The sequence below is a fragment of the Homo sapiens genome, chromosome 4 (genome assembly GCF_000001405.40).
Source record: "Homo sapiens chromosome 4, GRCh38.p14 Primary Assembly".
In the NCBI taxonomy this organism is placed as follows: Eukaryota; Metazoa; Chordata; class Mammalia; order Primates; family Hominidae; genus Homo; species Homo sapiens.
The window spans coordinates 85824363-85850660 of record NC_000004.12 but is presented as its reverse complement, the minus strand read 5'-3'; the positions used below and the strand labels follow the sequence as shown (position 1 = coordinate 85850660).

General features: G+C 38.0%; 1 protein-coding gene across 7 annotated transcripts in view, besides 1 other annotated feature; it reads right to left on the bottom strand.

Moving 5' to 3' along the window:
* ARHGAP24 (Rho GTPase activating protein 24) overlaps positions 1-26298 on the bottom strand; it is a 527517-nt gene that overhangs the window by 152006 nt on the left and 349213 nt on the right. The window contains exon 1 of one of the 7 annotated variants that reach the window (XM_011532300.3): positions 22641-26298. This exon is cut by the window's right edge and continues 45457 nt beyond it. The exons of 5 other annotated variants lie outside the window; for them this stretch is intronic. Coding sequence is in view for 1 of the 2 variants with exons in the window: in NM_001287805.2 (NP_001274734.1) it covers positions 22686-22698 (13 nt within the window). In the remaining variant the exon portion in view is untranslated. The remainder of the gene's footprint in view (positions 1-22640) is intronic. One more of the 7 variants, NM_001287805.2, reaches the window with a different exon arrangement.
* Positions 24132-24674: an enhancer, noted in NCBI's record as "OCT4-NANOG hESC enhancer chr4:86747140-86747682 (GRCh37/hg19 assembly coordinates)". NCBI's record gives its function as "activates a minimal SCP1, AML or CMV promoter by ChIP-STARR-seq in naive H9 embryonic stem cells {active_cell/tissue: H9 hESC(naive)}" and the evidence as "EXISTENCE:reporter gene assay evidence [ECO:0000049][PMID:30033119]".

Below are 26298 nucleotides of genomic sequence, written 5' to 3'. Positions count from 1 at the left end.
TGAGAACAAAGACACAATGTACCAGAATCTCTGGGACACATTTAAAGCAGTGTGTATAGGGAAATTTATAGCACTAAATGCCCACAAGAGAAAGCAGGAAAGATCTAAAATCGACACCCTAACATCACAGTTAAAAGAACTGAGAAGCAAGAGCAAACACATTCAAAAGCTAGCAGAAGGCAAGAAATAACTAAGATCAGAGCAGAACTGAAGGAGATAGAGACACAAAAAACCCTTCAAAAAAATCAATGAATCCACGAACTGGTTTTTTGAAAAGATCAACAAAATTGATAGACTGCTAGCAAGACTAATAAAGAAGAAAAGAGAGAAGAATCAAATAGATGCAATAAAAAATGATAAAGGGGATATCACCAGCGATCCCACAGAAATACAAACTACCATCAGAGAATACTATAAACACCTCTACGCAAATAAACTAGAAAATCTAGAAGAAATGGATAAATTCCTCGACACATACACCCTCCCAAGTCTAAACCAGGAAGAAGTTGAATCCCTGAATAGACCAATAACAGGTTCTGAAATTAAGGCAATAATTAATAGCCTACCAACCAAAAAAAGTCCAGGACCAGATTGATTCACAGCCGAATTCTACCAGAGGTACAAAGAGAAGCTGGTACCATTTCTTCTGAAACTATTCCAATCAACAGAAAAAGAGAGAATCCTCCCTAACTCATTTTATGAGGCCAGCATCATCCTGATACCAAAGTCTGGCAGAGAAACAAGAAAAAAAGAGTATTTTAGACCAATATCCCCGATGAACATCGATGCAAAAATCCTCCATAAAATACTGGAAAACCGAATCCAGCAGCACATCAAAAAGCTTCTCCACCAAGATCAAGTGGGCTTCACCCCTGGGATGCAAGGATGGTTCAACATATGCAAATCAATAAACGTAATCCATCACATAAACAGAACCAAAGACAAAAACCACATGATTATCTCAATAGACGCAGAAAAGGCCTTCAATAAAATGCAACAGCCCTTCATGCTAAAAACTCTCAATGAACTAGGTATTGATGGAATGTATCTCAAAATAATGAGAGCTATTTATGACAAACTCACAGCCAATATCATACTGAATGGGCAAAAACTGGAAGCACTCCCTTTGAAAACTGGCATAAGACAGGGATGCCCTCTCTCACCACTCCTATTCAAAATAGTGTTGGAAGTTCTGGCCAGGGCAATCAGGCAAGATAAAGAAATAAAGGCTATTCGATTAGGAAAGGAGGAAGTCAAATTGTCCCTGTTTGCAGATAACATGATTGTATATTTAGAAAAACCCATCGTCTCAGCCCAAAATATCCTTAAGCTGATAAGCAACTTCAGCAAAGTCTCAGGATACAAAATCAATGTACAAAAATCACAAGCATTCTTATACACCAACAACAGACAAACAGAGAGCCAAATCAAGAGTGAACTCTCATTCACAATTGCTTCAAAGAGAATAAAAGACCTAGGAATCCAACTTACAAGGGATGTGAAGGACCTCTTCAAGGAGAACTACAAACCACTGCTCAAGGAAATAAAAGAGGATACAAACAAATGGAAGAACATTCCACGCTCATGGGTAGGAAGAATCAATATCGTGAAAATGGCCATACTGCCCAAGGTAATTTACAGATTCAATGCCATCCCCATCAAGCTACCAATGACTTTCTTCACAGAATTGGAAAAAACTACTTTAAAGTTCATATGGAACCAAAAAAGAGCCCGCATTTCCAAGACAGTCCTACGCAAAAAGAACAAAGCTGGAAACATCATGCTACCTGACTTCAAACTATACTACAAGGCTACAGTAACCAAAACAGCATGGTACTGGTACCAAAACAGAGATATAGACCAATGGAACAGAACAGAGGCCTCAGAAATAATACCACACATCTACAACCATCTGATCTTTGACAAAGCTGACAAAAACAAGAAATGGGGAAAAGATTCCCTATTTAATAAATGGCGTTGTGCAAACTGGCTAGCCATTATGTAGAAAGCTGAAACCGGATCTCTTCCTTGCACCTTATACAAAAATTAACTCAATATTGACCAACCCAAATGTCCAACGATAGACTGGATTAAGAAAATGTGGCACATATACACCATGGAATACTATGCAGCCATAAAAAAGAATGAGTTCATATCCTTTGTAATGACGTGGTCAAAGTTGGAAACCATCGTTCTGAGCAAACTATTGCAAGGACAGAAAACCAAACACTGCATGTTCTCACTCATAGGTGGGAATTGAACAATGAGAACACTTGGACACAGGGCGGGGAACATCACACACCAGGGCCTGTCATGGGGTAGGGGGATGGGAGAGGGATAGCATTAGGAGAAATACCTAATGTAAATGACGAGTTAATGGGTGCAGCAAACCAACATGGCACATGTATATATATGTAACAAACCTGCATGTTGTGCACATGTACCCTAGAACTTAAAGTATAATGAAAAATACTATTCATTTAAATCATGCATGTAAATATACAATTTGGCTACTTTGTATCTCATATTAACAAATGGGAGGCATTTTATTTGTTTCTGAATTTTGGTACAGAAATAGTACTGCCTCACTGTATAGATTGTGTGGTGAAAGGGGGAGAAAAGTTATAGAAAACAGATTAGATGACTATCTCTCCTATTTATTAACTGTGTAATCCTGCACAGTACATGCCTAGATTCCTTTATTATGGATTTTCTTCAACTGAAAAATGAGCATTGTTCATCTGCAGCACTGGGATGCATTACTGGATGAGATGAACAATGCTCATTTTTGGGGATGCTCATAACTTGGGGATGGGTGATTGTATTTGGAGGGCAGCATTACCCTCCAAATACCACCACTTCCTAATCTCTAATCTCTAATGCTGTGGGCAGATAATCATTTATTTGGCCAGTGACAACTATATGTGTGCCCTAATCTTTGACCTGACCTGCTCCCCACAGTTCTAGCCAAACTGATCACCTTGCAGTTCCTCAAATAGGACAGGTATAGTCCCACATCTAAACCTTGACGTTTTCAGTGTCTTCTGCCTAGAAAGCTCATCACACAGCAGCCTTCCTTAGGCCTTTGCTCCTTTGCTGAAAATTCACCTTCAAGAAGTCTGTCTTGACCATTTGCATAAAAGAACACTTTCCTCCACCCGTTCTTTTTTACATCCTTTATTCTGCTATATCTATCTTTATGACCCTTACTGCCTGGCATAGTTTATATTTACTTTATTAAGCATCATTAATACCTATATTATACCATTATTAAATATCTTCTGTGTCTAGCATGTAAGATTGTTGAGGGCACAGACTTTATCAGTTTAATACACTGCTGTATTCCTAGAACTCAGAATAGTATTATCACACAATGCAAATCAACAAATATTTGTTAAATGAATGAAAAAAAATGAATCAAGCAAAATTTCTAGTGGTTAAAAAAACCAAGTGACACTTTAAACCTTCTTATTAGAAATTCATTGCAGATCATCAAGTCAATGGTAGAATCTAGATATTGAAGTATTATTATAAAAATTTACTGATTTGAATTTGTGCATGTATTCCAGAAAGGTTTAGGAGAAATCTAATGTCCAGAAATTCCCAACATAATTCATAAAGCTCTATACCCTCACACTGTCCCCTTTTGTTTATAGAACCAGTTGGCACTCAAGATCTCTCAGAAGAACACATACATTTAGATTATTTTGGCTGAATTATACTCTAGTCTTTGTATGAGTTGAGTTATAAGCTGGCAGTAAAATTATTGTAAATTTTTCTCTGATATCTCACCCTGACACATAAATAATGAATAAGTCTAAAAGTGGTCCCATAACTGAAGGGTAACATACTATTTAACTATAAGTCAGAAAGCAAACTGTGTAAGTCTGTTTCCTTATTGCTTTTTCCCAGTTAAAAGGCTAGAAATCAATTTTTCTCAGATATTCATGGCATGGTGATGAAAACAGTATTGGAATCCTGACAAGTTATCTTTATCCAAGATAACAAGGTAGAGTGAAAGTTGGTTAATAACCACTATGCGATGTCTGAGAATGACCCCATCACCATTAGGTGAGAATTAATTGATTGTTTTATAGTTTTATCCAACAGAAATTTAAAGTGTTGACTTCAGAAGAACACTTCCCTAATCCTAATATTTGATAGTGGGTTATTTATGCTGTACTGTTTGACTTATTTTACTGCAATAGCAATAGGTAAGATATTAAAGTAGTATCTCTCAACAAAAAGTGTCAATAATAATAATAAAAAAAACCCTGAATTATGAAAGTAGACCACTGTTTCCAAGTCCCTTACCTCACAGAAAGCAGATTGGGGGTGGAGATAAAGTGATTGTGGGAAGGCAGCTTTTTTGTGCGTGTGGCTTTTAGACATGTAAGTAATAACCCCATGAAAATAACATAATAGGTGGAAAGATTTTTTAAAATTATATTTTTGAGGCTAGGCACTGTGGATCACTCCTGTAATCCTAGCACTTTGGGAGGCCGAGGCGGGCGGATCACCTGAGGTCAGGAGTTTGAGACCACCTGGCCAACATGGTGAAACCCCATCTGTGATAAAAATACAAAAATTAGTCAGGTTTGGTGGTGGGTGCCTGTAATCCCAGCTACTTGAGAGGCTGAGGCAGGAGAATCATTTGAACATGGGAGGCGGAAGTTGCAGTGAGCCGAGATCGCGCCATTGCACTCCAGCCTGGACAATAAGAGCAAAACTCTGTCTCAAAAGAAAAAAGAAAAAGAAAAAGAAAAAAAATTATATTCTTAAATTTAAACAACCTCTTAGCTAAATAAGCTTTTCTAATAACTTTGAATTGTTTTCTATTTAGATTAAAAAATGCATTCTAGTGTAATCCTCCCAATACCCACCAATGGTAGCTATGATTATTTTACTTTATTTTTAACTCTATTAACATAGGTGGGAGTTTCCAATCCATAATCAGAATATATTAGTAACTTCACTTACACAGTTGTGTTGATTACTTCTGCCTCTGTCAGGTAGGTAGTGATTAGGGGCACTGCTATGTCTTAAGTGTGCGTAAGCAAAAAGGGAAAGAACAGGGAATATAAAAGGCAGGGAAAAATCCTGGGAAGGCAAATACACATAGTGTATGTAAATTCTAAATTATGTTAACAAATACACACTAATGATTTATATTAATATATACATTAATGTACCTATAGTTTGGGAGTAAGACTTCAGTTAGGATGAGACACTGCTACTTACTAGCTATGTAACTTTGAACAAGCGCCTTAATCTCCATTGGCCTCAATTTTCCAATCTTTAAAATAGAACAGTAGTGACAACCTCTAGGACTATTGTAAGTAAAGACATACCACAAAGTTGTTTTTCAAATTTGTCTGCATAATAAAATTCTTGTATGTATAATACAATTTTTACACAGGTTGGGTAAAATCATAATTATGACTGAAAATTATCATGAGTAATAACGATAAATTTCCCGGGAAGATTAAAATACCTTCCTTTATTGTCCAGACACAATTCAATACTTTTGACTTGCAAAAGAAAGAAAAAACATATTGTCTATGGTAATGTGTACTATTGCTTCAAGGTTAAAGTTGAAGTGACACATCCTACAAAGTATTAAAAAATGCAGGGAGAAGTGATAACAGATTAGTATTTTCCAACCTCTCGGTCAATGATATCTCTCTGTTAAACTGGTGCCATGCACCATGACATTTTCAGAGATAACTGGCTATTGGTTCCAACCCTATTCCAATGTCCAATTTGTCATCCCCTATACACCTACATCTGCAATATCCCCATCTCCCCTAAGATTCACCATGGCTATCATCATTTCCATACACTATAATTGGACAACAAAATGAACTAAAACAACAATAAAACAACAGAATTATGAGATACAGCAACAATTTCATTATACCAATACAAATTTGCTTGACTTTGATCACCAAGCAAATTATTTAAAACTAAGTACAACTCCCATTGCAATTTATACGGGACACATCCAAATCATTATCAGAAAAGGTGCAAAGTGTTCATTATCTGCTCCTCCAGGTAAATACAAATACAAATCTCGATCATTTTTTAAGTTCCTAAGACACTGGGTTTATGTTGTGTGTATGCGTGTGTTTGTATGTATGTGTGAATTGTTACTAACAACTGCTAACTCTGTGGAATAGAAGACTAAAGGTATTTTTATTTAATTCTGTAATCCCAGAACATCATCACAAAGTGGCCTAAATTAACACTTTTGTTTAGGGGGAAAGTTTATGTATTCACTCAATAAATATTTACTAATAGCTTATAATATGTAGGCTACAGAGCTGTGTGCTAGAGATGCTGTAACGAACAGTTCAGCCAGGAACCTGGCCCTCCGCTAATGGATCCTATTGGAGACTCTATATCTCTTTAATCTCTGGTATCAGTGTTAGCTCATTGTGTTTTCTTCCTCCTAAATTCCTAAATCTAGTTTATAAAACTTCCCTAGCATATCATGATGTATAATAACAGTTTATTAACAATACTAATAAAGACATTGAATAATGTATTTCAGGGAGGAGTTTACCTTTTATTTATGTTATCTCATTTAATCTTTACATGAGGAAGCTAAATTAGAATCAATTGTTACATTTTCATAAGCAATTACAACTTTAAAAATATGTTATCAATTATGTTTTAGGGCTTTTTGTGTCACACATTCTACTTAATTATTCTGCACTTAATGAAATATAACTCAGTGATAAAATTTTATACATTTAGCTGTAAAGAAAACCCCATATAGTTCAACATATATTTTGTATCAATGTCAACATTTATAATATACTGTGGAAAGAATAACATAGTCAATGGTTTTAAATATTATATTACATAGTCTATGGCTTAAATTTCCAACATGTTTTCTAATTCTTGTTGATTTTTCTGTAAATAAATAGGTGGCTTAACTATCATAGTACTCTTTAGTTTGATGAAATTATATTTTTCCCATGGTAAAACATTTTAAAGAAATTTTTCCCTGTATTAATTAAGAAAATCACACACAAAATACGTTGATATGTTGATTCCTGACAATCAACATTTGGATAAGCAAACTTTCTATGAAATGTCTACTCATGAATTTATACAAATTCATATTTGTGATACATTATTTATATTATTTAATTAAATTTAAATTATTAAATTAAATTTGAAGTCCAAAATCATGAATTTATCAAATTTTTCCTATTATGAGTTGACTTTGCCTCTCCTGCTATTTGCGTCTTGAGTTTGGATAGTAGCTCTGCCACTTACCAGCTGCTTAATTTTTCCTTAACTGTAATTCACAGATAATGAAAGAACTTAGAGCTAGAATGCAGACCTCCCGACTCATGATCCAGTTTTCAATTATGCTAATCTATTTTTATGTTATTAGACATACAGAAACAATAAGAGAACTGTCCAACAATGTGGCATTTTAATGGTAGTATTAACCTAAATAGAAAATATTACTGTACCATCAATCTAATCTTTTAAAAACATAAAGGCAGTCATGAAAATTGAAAGGAAACTTGCATTTTCTACAAAATAATATGTAAAATAATAACTTATTATGAAATATTCAGTTTTTACTGCTAACTCCAACTGGTCATTGGAAAGTATCTGTAGCATTATCAATAGGAGTAAATAGTATGGCCTGACTGCCCTTTGAGTCAGAATCTCATTTACTACCGGTAGGTTCTTGGCTGGGTTAATTGACCTCGCTAAGTCTCAGTCTCCCATGTGTTCATCAGGGTTACTGATACCACCCCACCATCAAAGTGGGAGGATCAAATGAGACAACTTACACGATGCATTTGGCACAGAGTAGACGTTCAATAAACATGAGCTCCCTTCCTCTTCCCCTAGTGCCAGCTGGCTGGCAGACCACATTAAGCAGAAAAAAGGAAGCTATGTTCTCCTTTTTCCAGACAGCTGGTAATGCAGACATCACAGGCTTTCTACAAACAATGTTGACTAATTTTTGCCACAGCTGACGTGTGTATAATGTGCCCTGCCAGTTCTCTCAATAAGCCGAATTCATGACCACGGAATAATTAAGTTGTTTTCTTTATCGCTCCTCATTTTATGAGTCCAGATTGAGGTAAAGTGGCACTTTTGTAATGTTTTGTATATTTCATGGACCTGGAAGACTTCATTTATTGTCCTGTAATAACAACAATAAAAATGTTTTACACTGTTTATTTCTGACCACAGTACTATGATACACATAATACTGCTCCCTCCAATCTGTAGAAGCGACCACTAAGAAACAGGTAAAGTAACTTGTCCAGCATCACCCAGGCAGAAAGTGGCAGGTTAGGATTTGAATCCAGTGTTTTGACTCCTATGCCTGCACTCCAAATTCATAGAAATGATTGAGAGAGAGAGTAGGATTTGCATGTAAAGTGAACAAAGGCCTTAAACTCCCATCTACTACTTCCCATTCAGCCGGGGGGGCAAAGAATACATTACTGAACATCCAGATTGTATTAGCTATGCTGTATTTCAAAATAGAAACCCTGAAATTTCCTCTTGATAGGTAAATATTTATCCCCTTTTATATCACTCAAGTACAGTACATATAGTATACAAATTCAACAGGCAATAACTTCTTAATTATACCTAAAATATTCAACAGTTTGAGAGGCACATTTCTGCTATTTTGGTTCCTTTTACCTAAAGGGAAAAGGCCAAGTAGGGCTTGTGTGTGAATGCTTAGAACAGTGGCTGGTACAACCAGTGGCTGGTACATAAACTCTATTATTTATTATTGTTATTATTTAATTTTCAAAACTACTTACTGAATATACACTTCTCTGATGAATTTTATAGACCACCAAGGAGCATCCTGCTGATGCCTAGGTCTGTATAACTCTGCTGAACAAAATGTGCTCCATGAATGTGTTTTATATACAGGTGTACTTGAATGAGGCTGGAAACAGCAATTCTCACCATCATTTCAATCAAGCAAAATTGGATTTTATCTGCTTTATGAATATTGGACACCTTTGTACAAAGTCATTTGAAGAAAGATTCCACTAAAAACAAATGAAAATAAATAAACAAATGTGCAAAGCTACTGCTATAGTAAAATATAATGATAACAATAATCTCTAATACACATATTGGGCTTATTTAAGCCAGAAACTATTCTAAGTAATTCTCACTATTACACTATAAGTTAAGTTCTACAATTCCCATTTCATAGATGAGGAAATTGAAGCGATTAGATGACTTATCTAAGATAAGTTTAGAATGGAGTTGGAACTACAATCAACACAGTTTAGCTCCTGAATCTGGGCTCTTCAGCACTGTGCTCTGCTGGCTCTGGATAGTAAAGAAAGTTCCTCTTAACACATTTTATACAATTTTCAATCAGTATTCTTGAGCTCTGCACTTGAATGAGAATAATGAATGTACGCTTTCTCACTTCACAATATGACCTGAAAGCAATATGCCCAATAAGTAAACAAAATATAAATATAAAAAGAGATTCTGAAAAAGTACAAATGCAGCTAAATGGAAATAGCCTACTGAGCAGTTTTTCTGGATTCCATTTAAAACATAATAATAGGTAGGTCTAAAATGGAACTGAGGTAAGTAAAACAAAATAACTTTCTCTATGGTTTCTCTAACAGGTATTATGGTGCCTACTTCAATGTTTCCATTTATATGGTGTTTGTAACACTTTATTGACCAAATTCAAAAAGAAGAGACTAAATTCAAGTAAGATACCTAAAATGATCAGCAGTTTCACGTCTGATAAATTAGTAAGAGCTGTCTAATTGCATAATTGATATAGCTCTATCTGCTTATACCCTTTATCCATAGATGATCTCCTGTTGATCAGGTGGCAACTTTAACACAACTTAAGGTTGATTACCAACAAGCTGTGTCACAATACTAAATAAAGTTAATTAAATTTTGATTTATAGAGGCTGTATTTCAACAATGTTGATCCATCACAGGTAGAGTCTTTATCTCTAAAAGTATTCACACTTCATGGGCTTCCCTTTAAAATACAGAACCAAAGCTATGAGAGCCAATCCTGCTAACTAAGCAAAACCCTGGATCCACAGCAGTTATGAGGGACAGACAAATTATATGAAACAATTAATACGGAAGGAGACATGGCACGTGTAGAGTGGGACAGACCAGTCAAAATGCTGGGCTCGTAAGACCACATGGTTCATCAGACCTTCTGTGGCTCCTGGGCGCAGTGTGCACCCTGAAGCTTATCTCTTCTTCATAGCTGTTATTTAGACTAGCCCGGGGCTTAAAGGCAGGATGTAAAATGCAGTCCAGGAAAAATGATTCCTTATGTTCCTTAAGTAATTGTGAACTTGGCATAAGTTTTCTTAAGTAATTTTTAAATCAAAGTTTACTTAAGCTTATTCTATCACATGTCTTGTTATGTTTTGTTTTGTTCTGTTCTCTTCAACCAAATATAGACCATTGAGTTTCTTAAAAAAGGCACTTAAGGCTGGGCGTGGTGGCTCATGCCTGTAATCCCAGTACTTTGGGAGGGTGAGGTGGGTGGATCATGAGGTCAGGAGTTTGAGGCCAGCCTGACCAACAGGGTGAAACCCAGTCTCTACTAAAAATACAAAAAAAAAAAAAAAAAAAAAGTTAGCCAGGCATGGTGGCACAGGCCTGTAATCCCAGTGACTCAGGAGGCTGAGGCAGGAGAATCGCTTGAACCCGGGAGGCAGAGGTTGCAGTGAGCCAAGGTTGCGCCACTGCACTCCAGCCTGGGTGATAGAGCAAGACTCTGTCTCAAAAAAAAAAAAAAAAAAAAAAAAGAAAACAGAAAAAAGACACTTGGTAGTTTCTAAGTTAACTCCAGTAAAAAGCATTTGTGTTTCATTTGCTTAGTCAACAGAGTGAAATTATTTTATTCTTAAAAAATATTAGAATTCCTGTAATCCCAGCACTTTGGGAGGCTGAGGCGGGTGGATCACGAGGTCAGGAGATGGAGACCATCCTGGCCAACATAGTGAAATGCGGTCTCTACTAAAAATACAAAAACTGGCTGGGCGTGGTGGCACGTGCCTGTAGTCCCAGCTACTCGGGAGGCTGAGGCAGGAGAATCGCTTGAACCCAGGAGGCAGAGGTTGCAGTGAGCCGAGATCAGGCCACTGCCCTCCAGCCTGGCAACAGAGCGAGACTCTATCTCAAAAAAAGAAAAAAAAAGTTAGAATTATGACCAGACATATTCAGGTTTAAAGCTTTATCTGAACTGATAAAGAAGTTCTGTGTGAACATAAACAGTTATTAAGAATTCAAGTTTGGATGATCAGTGTTAATAAAAGATGAGAATAAGGAGCACTAGAAAGTCTCTATCCTCTGATATCCATATTTAAATCAGCATATACACTTTCTTTCAGAAACGTACTTTGGAGCAAGGGCTATGTTAAGCCGCACATACTTACAAATTACTCTTTTTAATGTTTAAAATAATTTATACAATTATTATTACTGAGTCTTCTCTGTTTTATTATGATTGCTGAAAGTAATGAGAATAGCTACCATTTTTAGTTCATTGTAATTGTTGTGTTTCCCCTTCCCTTTGGAATTAAGCAGGTGCCAAACATTTATTAGATGCCATCTAAGGTAATTAGTTGCTCATGAAAATGCCATGAACAATGCTCAGGTTGTGGCAACTGAGCTACGATTTTTGATAGAACTCAATATTGATCAGCATAATGACAACAAATAAAGGTGAGGGGCTCAGCGCAGCTGGAGGAAGAAATAAAGAGAGGAAGAGCAGAAAATTTCCAAGGTGGGCCCTCCATGCGAATGAAGAACAGAGCAGGTGTTTGGCAAAGTTAGCTTGGGGGAGGGAGGGATGGACTTAGTGGGGGAGGGAAGGTGTGAAAATAATTGTATTTTGTTTATGTCTTAAAGAAAACGTCCCTAAAATGTGTCACTTAAGGAAGGATACAGTTTCAGCAACAGAAGTGGGGGGCATATCTGCCATAATTGGCTATGCAATAAAAGAGATTTTAAAAACACATTTTGCAGTAGTTATTTTGGCCTTTTTCTTTGAGACAGAGTCTCGCTCTGTCGCCCAGGCTGGAGTGCAGTGGCGTGATCTCGGCTCACTGCCAGCTCCGCCTCCTGGGTTCACACCATTCTCCTGCCTCAGCCTCCCAAGTAGCTGGGACTACAGGCGCCCACCACCATGACTGGCTAATTGCTTTTGTATTTTTAGTAGAGATGGGGTTTCACTGTGTTAGCCAGGATGGTTTTGATCCCCTGACCTCGTGATCTGCCCACCTCAGCCTCCCAAAGTGCTGGGATTACAGGCGTGAGCCACCGTGCCCGGCTATTTTGGCCTTTTAAAGATATATTCAGAATGATTACATGTCTCTCTTGAGAGGCAGTATCCACAGTAGTCATGCTCACAGGCTGTGGAATCAGATTTGAATTCTGACCCTGCCACTAGTTGATGTCACGATTTAACCTGTGTCTCAACTTCCTCATCTGCACAATTTCCCATCTGTGGTTTATAGCATTGTTGTGAGAATTAAAAGTGTATAAGTAATGTAGATGCTTAGGAGAGTGGCTGGCACCTAGTAATAACACACGTTCGCTATTTTTTCCAGACATTATTTGAACCCAATAAAGAATGTTAACAGAAAGGACGATCAAGACAGTCAAATGATGCTGGGAGTACATTTTCAAAGTTTGGTTTTGTTTTACTACTTAGCATATAGATAAAGCCAGCAGAGCAGAAATACAATACCGATCGAGGAATCTAAACTATAGGACTCGAGAGAAGATGATAAAAATGTTAAAATTCTCTAATTATCAGTTACAAAGATTGATTCCCACGTAGGGAAATTTCCCTACAACATTGCCCGCAGCATGGCAGTTTTATTGGGATTGGAATACAGTCCATATGGTGTGCTTGCTGACACTGGAGTTTAGGGGAGTGGGCTCCTCCTGAGCATATTTTACTTCTGTGAATAATCACTTGTCATTTCAAGTCCCCACCCCCATGAGAACTGCAACCTCGGAGTCCTCTAGGGAAGCTGCATTTGTTCCCTTGCTATTATAAGCATTTGCCCAAGATGACTCCAGGACAAAGTTTAATTCCGCTGCTTGTTTTTTTTTGTTTTTCTCTTTCGATTTGTCTTCATGTAACATAGACTCCACAACCACAAATTCCAGCTGAATTACATCTTTAGGGACGTGCAAAGACCTTGGGGCAGGAGAGGCAGAAGTCAGTGAAGCAAGAGTTCACGACATTTTCAATCACTTAAAGAATGATGTTAGAAATTCAAGTACCTTTTCCCCATTACTGGGGAAAATGTTTTCCCTTGACAGGCCTTATTTCAGAATTAGATTGTATGACCCAGTTAGCTAGGCTGACTCAAATTATAGAGCAGGTTGGCAGAAAAGAAACAACTTACAGAATCAAAGCAAGTGTAGGAAAAAAGAATTTGAGCTATCTCTGCCTAATGATCTTCTGAGTTCACTCCTAAGGGATGCTCTACAGCAAGGGAATAAATAGTCATCAACACTTAACTCCTAAAACTTTCAGAGATAAATATTACCTTTAGGAATAAATATGTCACAGCTGGGCTAGAATGATGACCCCATACTTGCTATGTGCACATATTTAGGGAGTCCCTGCACATCAGCACAGTCCTTTTTCCCCCTCCTTTTTGGCATTTGAGAATTGGGCTTCTACTCTGTGAGTTGGAACAGCTCTTCTGAAACTTTAATGTACAAACAAAACATCTGGGGATCTAGGTTAAAATGCAGATTCTGATGCAGGAGGTCTAGAAGAGGCTTGAGACTCTGCATTTCTTACCAGCGCTGACAGGATACTGATGCTGCTAGTCACTGACCACACTTCGAATAGCATGGAGGTAATATAATACTGAGGCCAGTCCTGGACTCTGAATTTTCTTGGGTTCTCCCATTACTATTATTTCTTCTGAGCCAATGCTAGGGGTTGAATTATGTTCCTCAGGAAAGATATGTTGAAGTCCTAACCTCCAGTATCTCAGAATGTGGTCATATTTGGAAATAGGGTCTTTACAGGTCAAAGTGGTAGTCCCTAATCCAATATGACTGGTGTCCTCATAAAAAGGGGAAATAGGGACACAGTGATAGATATGCACAGAGGGAAGGTGATGTTGAGAAACATAGGAAGACAGGCATCTACAAGCTAAGAAACTCCTGAGTCTATCAGAAGGTAGGAGAAAGACCGAGAACAGACCTTCTGTAGTGTCTTCAGAGGCAGCATCAACCTGCTAACACCTTGATTTTACATTTATGGCTTCCAGAACTGTGAGGCAGGAAATTTTTGTTGTTTAAACCACCCATTTGTGAAACTTTGTTACAGCAGTTTTGAGAAAGTAATACAGGTACTGTTATCAAGGACATTTCCCTGACACTTCATTCTCCTACTCTGTGACACACACAGAAATGTTTGGTGTACCACAAAACTTAACACAACCTGAGGAATGTGAACACAACATCCCATACCCAGATAAGGTAACAACAAAAGATGGAGGTCATGTTTCTTAGGACCAAAGCTTGCATTGCTCCTACTGTCACTGCAGGTGTCAATAATGACATGCTGTCATAGATTGCCAGCACTGCCAAGTCTGAATTCCATAATTTATCCAAAACTGTTCTTACCTACAAATCACTATCTGGCCGCACCTGTAATCCCAGCACTTTGGGAGGCCAAGGCAGCTGGGCCACTTGAGCTCAGGTGTTCCAGACCAGTCTGGCCAACATGGTGAAACCCTGTCTCCACTAAAACTACAAAAATTAGCCGGGCATGGTGGCACGCACCTGTAATCCCAGCTGCTCGAGAGGCTGAGGCAGGAGAATCTCTTGAACCCGGGAGGCGGAGGTTGCAGTGAGCTGAGATCATGCCACTGCACTCCTGCCCGGGCAACAGAGCAAGACTCCATCTCAAAAAACAAACAAACAAACAAAATACAAATCGTTATCACATTCTATCGCTTCACATCCTTTCCACCTCATTAGCAGCCGTACAAATTGCTTTCCTTTTTAGAACCATTTTTCTACAATGAAACAAACCGTGCTTTTTTTTTTTTTTTTGAGATGGAGTCTCACTCTGTCACCCAGGCTGGAGTGCAGTGGCGCGATCTCGGCCCACTGCAAGCTCCGCCTCCCGGGTTCACGTCATTCTCTTGCCTCAGCCTCCCAGCTGGGACTACAGACGCCCGCCACCACGCCTGGCTAATTTTTGTATTTTTAGTAGAGACGCGGGGTTTCACCGTGTTAGCTAGGATGGTCTCAATCTCCTGACCTCGTGATCCGCCCGCCTCAGCCTCCCAAAAGTGCTGGGATTACAGGCATAAGCCACCGCGCCCGGCCCAAAGTTTGCTTTTTTTTTTTTAAATTACATTGTGCGAGTTACTAGGTTTGCAATGAATACAAGAAGAGAAAAACAAGCCTGCATAGACTTACTTGAAAGGGTGTCGGCAAGAGTGAGGTATGCTAATCTCACTCACTAGCTAAGTGATGGGTCTTTCCAAATCAGACTGACAGCAAACATGATTCAAACACACTCCTCAGAAAAATGACAAGCTACTAACAAGGTATTTGCTTTCACTTCAAAAGAGTAAAATATATGCTTATGAGATCCATGAAAGCCAAGGAGTGAAGTTTTTTTATTCTGATACTTAGTCATTACACTTCTAAATATGGTTCAATCTACTTTTTATACTCTCAGTATTCTTTACTTGGGAACCACTCCCTTGGAGATATTTGAAAAGTGCAGGAGTGTTTGGGTTTTCACATAAATGGAGGAGTGATTGGCAATTAATGGGCAAGGCTTGGGGAAACAAAACATTCCATAGAGCAAAGGACTATAAATATTTGTCCCTTCCCAAATAGTAAAAGCAACTCTAGATTGAGGCCTTCATCCCATCCTGGCATTTCTTTAAGATTAATGGTCTTTTCAGTTTGGGCTCTCTGTTCACCCTTTGACTTCTTCCAGAAACCACGTGGACGTCACAGATCTTCTCTCCGTTTTGACAGGTGTGTCATTCCTCAGTATGTCCAAAGAACACTGGTTTCTCACTCTATCCTCCTTATGGGATGTTGTAACAGATACACTGGGTAATCAATAGAACTGTTCTTATTAGTTTTCTGTCTCATTTTCAGGGGCAAGTGGCGAGATGGGTGAAGTATTATAGATATATCTGACCAACAAAGTGTACTTGAGATAGGATGTCTTGGAGGTGTTTTAAAATATTCTTTTATGCAATTCTCTATTTTCCTTCATGATTACTGTTAGTGTCTCTTTCTTTTATTCATTCATTTATTTAACATAAAAAAGGACCTACTATGAGGAAGAAATTGTGTTAGGTCCTATGGAAGAAGGTCACAGATAATGATAATGAGGTCTTCATTCTGTGATGATCAAATTTATCCTATTGTATCTCCCATTAATTCTTTTTATTCTCTCTGATAACTTCCCCCAACTTTTTCTACCTCTTGATCTAGAAAAAATTCACTCCTCCACCAAAATAATAGTCCTATTTGCTAAAATATCTCCATTCACAGGTTAGCTTTTTGATTATTTCTTCTACTATAAACAAATACATACATACATATTTTCTCAGCTAAACTTCGTAATATGTGATTTATACTAATATTACATATGTGAAAACTGAGCTTCACAAAAGTTAAATAACCTTCCCAACTTGCTCATGGATTTCAAAGCAGATCCAGCTGATCCCAGTGCCTGTGTTCTTAACTAATGTAAAATATTTCTGATATTTAAAATCACTTTTGTGTGACTTCTAGTGAGCTTATAAATACCTTACTTGAAAGTTTCAGACACATTTGGCCTTCATTCTCAGCACCTTGACTAAATTGTTCATGACTGTTTTAGAAAACTGTTTGTACCTTCCAAGTTTCTACTAACACTAAATTTTAAAAGTTTAAAAACTTTTCTGGGTTTCTTAGCTAATACAAATCCAAAAGGCAGAAATTCCAAATATAACTGGGTAGTCCTTTGCAATTTTTCAAAGCCTTCAGGCTTTTGAAGTTCTGTAGATTTGCCTTAATCTGTTGCTAGAACACTGCACATGCTCTAAACAGCCTGCCAGTCTGAGAAACTTAGCGTGAATGACACAAGTGTTGTTGTTGTTTTTTTTTTCCCCAGGTCAGAGGATAGTGTGAAACAGTACGGGAGGTCATGGGAGGGGAGGAATCCCAGGATAAAGAAATTAACTAGAGGAACAGGAAGTAAAATAGAAAAAAAAATCCAGAGACCTAAAGAAAAACCTTTCCAATTGAAGCTGTCTCCTCCCCACCAAGCACGTACCTCTTGATAGATAGCTTTTTGAATCAGTTCAGTCTATTCCGATAGCAACTTCAAAGGGCCAGCACATAGCTGACAGTGTGTCATTCCATTGTCATATCAATGGAAGTCAGAGATCAGAAATCTGCAGATACCAGAGAGAGTGATGGTACTTTGAGGCCTCAATCAAGTATCAGATTTAGGAATCAGGACAGTTAAGAACAAGAAATCAGTCTACAATATTTTCCTAACACTTGTCCGGCCCCAGCATAAAACACAGGCATCAATTTGGAATTATAAAATAAATTAGTGATTGACATATATACCTTCTTTGCTTTCCTTCCTCTCTGAAGCCTGGGAGCCTGAAACACATAGAGAACACTGGGGTAGATGGTACAGAGAAAGGCCCACCTCGGACACCTCTATTCTGCTATGGTAACTGCCATGCCCAGGTACCCCTCAAGCAGCAGGACACTATTTCTACCCCTGCCCATGACAACTCAGTGGCATGGTGGTGATAGCATCGCCCCTGTGCATGTAAGCACACCAAAGCCTTCTAGTATGCTGATAATTTCATACTTTACACCTAAACCTTCAACCATTTTAGAATTTATTTTGGTGGTACTTTTTTTCTAAATGGCTACATAGTTGTACCGGTACCTACTACTTCTTATTGACTCATTCATCCTTCTCCCACCATTCTAAAGTTCTGCCTAAGTTAATGGGGTATATTTGGTGTTAAGAGAGGGTTGTCCACAATGGACTAACCCATTGAACACCGCACATGGCAAAATGATACTAAGTAGTCTATTCCTGTTTGGTGTGTTAATCTGCATTAATCATGCCTTTTTATTTTTGTATTTCTGATGATTTGTCATCTGAGGCCTTGTGGGCCTGAAGAGACTGCCCCTTCCAGGGCTACTCAATGCCTAATAATAGTAAAAGACCCACCTGGCAGTGTGTTTTCACATGCAAACCAACGAATCCAGAGCCCATACCTCAACCACCTCCTCTATCAGGCTCTCATGCTCTGGGCCACTATCCTTCTGCTCAAATCACTCCAGGGCCAGGTATTAGACAACTAGAGACAACCCCTACACCACTGAGACCACCGGAATTATACAAACTAGCTAATCCCAAGCCTTCTCACCCTGCCTTATTTGTTCCCGCCCACGGAAAACACAAAAGGCTCTTGCTCCTGTTTTCTTTTGGCTCCCTCTGCCCCTGACTGACCCTGGTGCTTCCCTGTATGGCCCCTGCATGTGGCCTGCCCCTCTCTTCTTGGGAACTTGAGAGTGACAAACTATCTCTTCAATAACAATCACCTCCTAATCTATTGGCCCCACAATTCCTGAAAAATAATAAAACCTACGTTTAAAAATACAGTTCTTACACAGACTTAGCAGGAAAAGGAAAAGGAGACTTTTTTTTTTTTTTTTTAGATAGAGTCTCACTCTGTTGCCCAAGCTGAACTTCAGTGGTGTGATGTCAGCTCACTGCAGCCTTGACTTCCGGGACTCAGGTGATTATCACACCTCAGCCTCCCGAGTACCTGGGACTACAGGCACATACCACCATGTCCCACTAATTTTTGTATTTTTAGTAGAGACTGAGTTTTGCTATGTTGTCTAGCCTGGTCTTGAACTTCTGGGCTCAAGTGATCCTCCCACCCTGGCCTCCCAAAGTGCTGGGGTTACAGGTGTGAGCCACGGTACCAGGTGGAGACATTTCTTTATAGCCACAAAATAATCCCTCTGAACACATTGGTGTGTTCTGATAAGTTATCAGTCAAATGAAAGCCCATTGTATAAGAATAAGAGTTGGAGAAGGAACACACTCCAGTTGGTTTTATACTTTATCATAAAAATATTTAAAGCATGCCAATCTTTAAAAATATTAAAATGTAAAAGTCTCTCTTTTTATTGATTTTAATATATTGGAGTAGTGTTCTTTAAAATTCCCTTAAGGTCAAATATGCCTATAAATAGGAAACTTTGCAATAATTTTTATTGATGGTTCCTTGCCCATTAGAAATACTTGGAAGTTGTAATTACATTGTCTTACTGATTATTTGAATTACGTATTGAAAAGAATTTTGGGGCTCTTAATGTGTAAAGAGTTTATGTTGTATTGGTCATCAGTGTTTTTAAAAATTATTTATTATTTATGATGATGGGTGGCTATTGAAGGGAACATAGGTAGATATTAGAATCCGATTTGAGGTCTTCCCTAGCATAATGGAAATAACTTAAATGTTTAAATAGCAGGAATTATATATGTATTTGATATAATGACTTTAGTGGGTACCTCCTGTGGCAGGGGCCAAGAATGACAGGCAGTCATATTCCAGCAACCAGGCTGTATTTATTTTATTTCCTTAGAAGACACACTGCATTCAAGATAAATGAGGCAGGGCTCTTGAGCAGACTTGCAGAAAATGTTTATACTCCCTGTTTCCAACGGAGAATCACCTGCTGCCATCTGCTCCTACTCCAGCTCCCAAGTCCTTATAGCCAGCGGTCCACTGAGGAGCCCAGTGACTGTCAGAACACTGTGGTCTCAGGACTAATCTACCAGAGAAATAATCACATCACGTACCCTGCTCTCCAGGTTTCTTCTCTCCAAAAAACCGAGGCCTAATTTAAGGAATCTAGAAGTAATAGTAGTTAAAAGTTGTGTGAGTGCCCATTATATTATCTGAATCTATACTGCTTTGGGAAGAGTTAGTAGGCAAAATAGAACTTAGTGGCCAAGGTAAAGAGACATACAAATGACGGATAGTGCTGTAAGCCAATCCCATAAGCTAAAAGTCATATTTACTGTCAGTTTACCAAAGGCCTTTGTAGAAGTGTAACTATGTCGGTATGTATAAACAATTGTTGAGGTAGGTTCCCAAGCCTAGCAACGGACTAGATGGATTAAAAAAGTAGGAATAGCAGAAATGCTAGGCACGATGGACACAGTGGCCCTTGCTGCCTGGTAGCCACTAATCTCATTCTTTCCCACTCACTCTCCCATTTTCTGCTCAGAGAGTGGGCAGTAATCTCTTGATTTCAAGGGAAGTAGGATTTTCCCTGGTCCCAAGGGATACATCAAAACTGCTTCCTTGTCCAAGGTGTAGAAAGAAAGAAGGTTCAGCAAATGAAGAACTTAGTGAGTTTATAGTCTAGAAGAAAAGTGTAAAGCTGAAAGAAGGAAGAAAGCAAGGACACAATGTGTTAGGGAGTTTAAGCATTTTAGAAAATTAGAGATATTTATCAAATATGTAAATAAAGGCTAATCTTTCCCCTTAACTAGGAGAACTTAATTGCATAGAAGTAAATGTGTTTGAACAGACTGGCATGTGCTCTGAGGTCAGTACCTAAATTCTCTAAACCTTTTTAAACCTCTTTGCATGTTGAGGTAAGCTAGTTATCTAAAGAACAAACACAGACACTATTAAAGGCTTTTCTTGGCTGTATACACTGATTATGATTCATCAAATAGGTGACTTACTTTCTAGTGTTTCAACATAGAAGCTGACCATGGGTTCACATGGATGCCACATCTGAACATACAAGACTGTAGTCCTCACAGAGGGATGAATACTCTTGTGTTGATAAAACAGTTACACAAGGCCTTCCTGTACATCTTTTCAGTCATGGTGATAGTCATGTTAAACTCTTTTCAAGAAGCAGCCAAATTTTACATCATGAAAAGCCAATATAGTACAGGTTCCCATATAGAAATGCCAATCATCAATTCTTTGTACACCTCAAGTTCCACATCTGTGAAATGAAACTTTTTCTTAACTCGCATAGAAAGCATTACAGTGTTAGAGTCAGGTGTTTCTGCTCAGCATACCACAGTGCTCTTACATAGAGTCTGAAAGCAAGGAACCATGAAGAGAGTGTCCCAGGAACTTGGCATTCCACATGCATGTAGGAACAGGTGACGATCTAGTTTACAGTATTAGAATCTTCTTTCAAAACTGACATACTTTAAAAGTGGGACAGATAATTTTAATATTATATGTTCTTTGTTAATTGTTTTGAATAATTTTAATGTTCACTGCCTTTTAATAAAATTTATTTTACTTCATTAGTTTTTAAAGTCTATCAAAATGGATATCAATTTTAAATAAAAAATTTAAATTTCCTTTTTTCCTTCTCATTTTATTAATCTCAGCAACAGAATCCAAATTAATTAAAACTGACAAGTACATTCCACAGGTTGACATGTTTTATTAAGAATTCTTGTTCTTGGCTTCATTTCTGCTGACTCTAAATTTTTTAAGTATGCTATTGTTCTTTCATTAGACATAAAAATTTGAGCAGTTAGAGTAATTTTTTGGTATTCCCTCATAATTATTCCTCATTTCAATGTATTATCTTCTTTTTCATTTTAAAATCTGATATTCTTTTTCTTCTTCTACTTACACAGTACCAAATTCCTATACTTTTCCCTTTTCTCAAATACGAGTCTCAGAAATACAAACCTCCTATATATTTATTTAGATATTTAAAAAGTATCTCCTTTTTATAGTTTATGGGTTCACTTAAGTAGCCAACATACAAAACTGACCCACGATTAAGGTCTGTTAACCCAAGAGCATGATTTTAATTCCTATTGTAACAGACTCATAGTGAGTAATACTCTGCGTTCCCATGTACTTCTACAAGCTTACATAGCAGTTGTATTGTCCTGTGTACACAGAATGTAAGGTTACAAAATTCAAATATGCGGATAACAAAAGCTTTATAGGTTGATTAAGTTAATTGTAAGTACATCAAAAGATAGCACGTATTATTTGGTTTTCTTTTGGCTTTTTTTAAAAAAAAAAAAACACACACGCAGACACACACAAATGGCCAAGTAGTTGTTTTCATTTTGACAAGCAATTACACAAAAAACTCCCACTGCTTTTGTCAACAGATCAAATCCTAAGGCACTCTACTCTCTCAAAGTTTCAACCACTAAAATGTGGGTAAAGCAAAGAATACACCACAGCAAGCACTAAACAAATATAGCAATTTAGATTTTTATCGGAAGCAGTTTTTATATTCCTTCAAATTAGCACTGGAATTCTGTATATGAACAGATACATCATGTGGCAGCAGCGATTAACGAAAGAATCCAAGAAACACTGCACTATAACGATCACATTTCAGCGTGGAAGAACAGCACTATGTCCAATCTGTTGCCACAATGTAGACACCGTGGAGAGCTGAATGGATCATGACAGAAAACAAGGGTATAAATAAAACCGCACACAGTCTAGGTCCTGAATTTGTGGTGATATAAATATCCCCAAATTATTAAACACAATCAACAACAATACCTGGCAATTTGTCTCCAAATTAAGAACAAAGCACCCAGCTCTCACCTTGCACAAACATACACTTCAGTGGTCAGTGACAAATGCAGGCTGCACTTGCAAGCTGGGAGACAGAGCAGCTGCTCTGTCCTGAGTCGCTTAAAGCACATTCGAGCCCAACTCAGGTCCTACTGTGTTTGCTCACTGCAGTTTCTCCCATGACTCCATCACCCAGGAATGGAAACCACGGCTCGCTCCCCAGCACTAGTGGGCTCCCCAGCTACTGAGCTCAGGTAAAAACGCTGAGTCCTGCAAGGTCACCACAAGGTGACCACAAGCAAAAGGAGTGTACAGGGAAGAGGAGGGGCTGTCATGGAAAGACCCTAAACTCCAGACACCTTGCCTTTCGAGATTCTGAACTCCGTAAATCAGAGCTGGGACAATAAAATCTGAGAATCCCAAATGGCACCAAGCCAAGCAACCAACCCAGGGGCACTGTTTAAGCAATAATCTCTCTCTCTCTCTAAACACACACACACACACACACACACACACACACACACACACACACACACACACACACGGGCAGACTTCAGTGTAGCTATTCTAATTGCCCAGACATCCCTCTCAAGCCCAAAAGTTGTTTATTTTTTTCAGGTTTCCAGGTAACAGGGCTTAAAGAAGGATCTTAGAAAATTGAAGTATTTGCCAAAATCAAATTAATTCTAAGAGCAAAATGATTTCTGGCCCATAAACTCATATAATAAAGTCTTGCATTTTGCATACATACTGGAATTATGCAAACTTCCATATTAAAATATAGTAAAGATGTATTTATTTCAGAGCTGACAGAATCAATTTAAATTTCTCATAAAAATTCCTATCATCTTTCAAAATCAGTCTCGATTATGCATGCACACTTTAATTTTGGGGGTCTTCAAGAAGGCATTTCTTGCCAAAAATATAATCACTCTGAATGTATATATTATAAATAGATACAAACGTGTTAATAAATATTTCCCTGTAGAGTCTAAGTTTTTATTTCTCATATTTTGATCTTCTTAGAAGTGGAGAAGGAACAATTTTTAATCTTGCAAGTGCCTTACAAAACATTTCTTCTTAGTTGTATATATTTTTTAATAGGTAAATAATGACTTAACTGAATTTTAGATTGATTGCATGAGCAAGAAATTATTCTCACCCTTTAGACAATTTTTTTAACCTCCTTCTCCAACCACCACTGTTCATTAGCAATTTAACCTCCTAGGTGTCAGTTTTGTAATCTATAAAACAGAGATTTCTTACTAGTGCCTGTTTTGTCTACTTCCTTGGCTGGTGACATCAGGGTGAAATGGGACAGAGTGTAGGACAAAATGCTTTCTATATGTGCAGTACTTGAAAAAATGCACTTGCTGCATTTCCTCCCTCTTATTTCCCCAGTGAGTACTGGGACTAGTAAATTACTTGCTGCATTCTCAAGGAGGGCTTCTTGGGCTTCAAGGAAACTGCTTGTTTCAAGTGGGCTATAAATAGAGTTCGAGATTTTATTGAACTGCTGTTCTCTTTGTGGCAGATCTTGAGGGCAGCCACCACATGGCCAGAGTCAGTTAATTGTGAGCAGCATGAGCCCCGTCTAGTGTTTGAGGCAGAACAAGACTAGTCAAAATTCTGGGAGAAAATGCTCACGTGCATGGTTGGTTACATAGTTCGCCTGGCATCCTGTTGTACTCCTGTGTTTGAGGGGGATGGAGAAGGGGATTAATGAAGGGGAAAGGTTAGCTATGGAATGCCAAGTTCACTGCTGAGTTATTCAGTAACAAATGCATCTGGGCATTCATGCTAATTTCTCTACAATTACTTAAGCATTTTTTAGAGGTCGAGTTGTGGAGAGGGGCGGGGAACAGAGGGAGGGAGACAGGTGGAGAACAGGAAAGGAACTGAAAATGTGGCCACCCGTCTTATGAGACACACAGGGCTGGGAGCTGGGAACTTTATGTATATTATCTCAGTTAGCTCTCATAATAATCCTAGGAGATACCTGTTATTCTTATTTTACAGATAAGCATAATTAACCTGTACACTGTTAAAGGTCAATGGTGAAGTTAGAATTACAATCAAGATCTGCATGGTCTAGAGTTCCATAGTCTGAGTAAATTAGTTACCTTACAGCTTTCTCAGAAAAAGAAAGGAAATAAAGTGTGGTTTTTATATAGTGAGAATAGGGAAGACAAGAATACAAGTCACCCGGAAAACTTCTTGAGGATATTGACTAGGAAAGTTAACTTTTACAAAGAGTCCAGAGATTTTTAGAAAAATGAGTTTTGATTTTTTTTAACAATGAATTCATTGCAGGATGCAGAAAGGAAAAATCAGTTTTTATTACTAGTGCCAATACTTATTTTTTAAATTGGGTCCTGCTTGTTTTTCAATTGAAGAAGCAAGTTCAGAAGTCTTTCTGTATAGTAGACTATTACTCTGGTTTTTGTAACATACACATAATGCATTATTTTATCTTAATTTTCTTAAATTATCAGACCTTTAACAATGCTCTTAAGGAAGCAAGGCAATCTCTTGACCTTCGATGTAGCAGAACACTTTTTTTCAACTGTAGTGTGGAATATAGTACAGTAGCCATAATTTTCTCCTGGGTTTGAGGATGTTAATAAATTGGCAGGTTCTTTCAACCAATTTTATTGGAAAGCTAGAGGCAGAGTCTGAACTGCAGGGCTACATGTATGTGTCTGTGTTCTACCCTTTAAGTAAGTGTCATTCCCAGCTGTAAATGTTTTAAATCTTATCTGAAGTCAGTTTTCAATTATTCAGATATCTCAATTGAAAAACAATAAAAGTGGAAACAGAGTTTTAGGCACTTTCTTCAAATTATTATACTGCCCCACTAAGGTATTTCTTTTCTTTTCTTTTCTTTTTTTTTGTTTTGTTTCGTTTCGTTTTTTTGAGATGAAGTCTTGCTCTGTTGCCCAGGCTGGAGTGCAGTGGCATGATCTTGGCTCACTGCAACCTCCGCCTCCCAGGTTCAAGTGATTCTCTTGCCTCAGCCTCCCTAGTAGCTGGGATTACAGGCACATGCCATCACACCTGGCTAATTTTTATATTTTTAGTAGAGACAGGGTTTCTCCATGTTGGCAAGGCTGGTCTTGAACTCCTGACCTGAGGTGATCCAACCATCTTGGCTTCCCAAAGTGCTAGGATTACAGGCATGAGCTACCAACCTGGCCGGGTATTTAGTTTCTCAAACACTACTGCTAGTATTGCCCTAGTGTAATTACCATGGCAGAAAATAAGAGCACATTGCTTCCTCCCTTTGTCTCTGAACCTCTATGTTGTTTTTTTTTCCTCTTGGATTTTAAGATCCGGATTTTAGAATCATATATGGAAAAGACACTTGCACTGAAGTTTAAAAGTATGAAGAAGAAAGCATCCAGAAGAATTGGTCGACATTTGCAATCAGTGAGGAGAATAAATAAGATGTTTTGGTTTTCTATTTGGTTCATGCTACCTTGCCCAGTAATGATACCTTCCTGATGTTTCCTAGAGGCAATGTTTCATTTCACACAGATACTCATGAAGGTCTGGCCTGAAATCCTTGTAGTATTTCCACTTAGGGTAGTACTGGGTTCATGGATGAGTCGGATGGGGTTGTTTCTAGTGTGTGAACTAATGA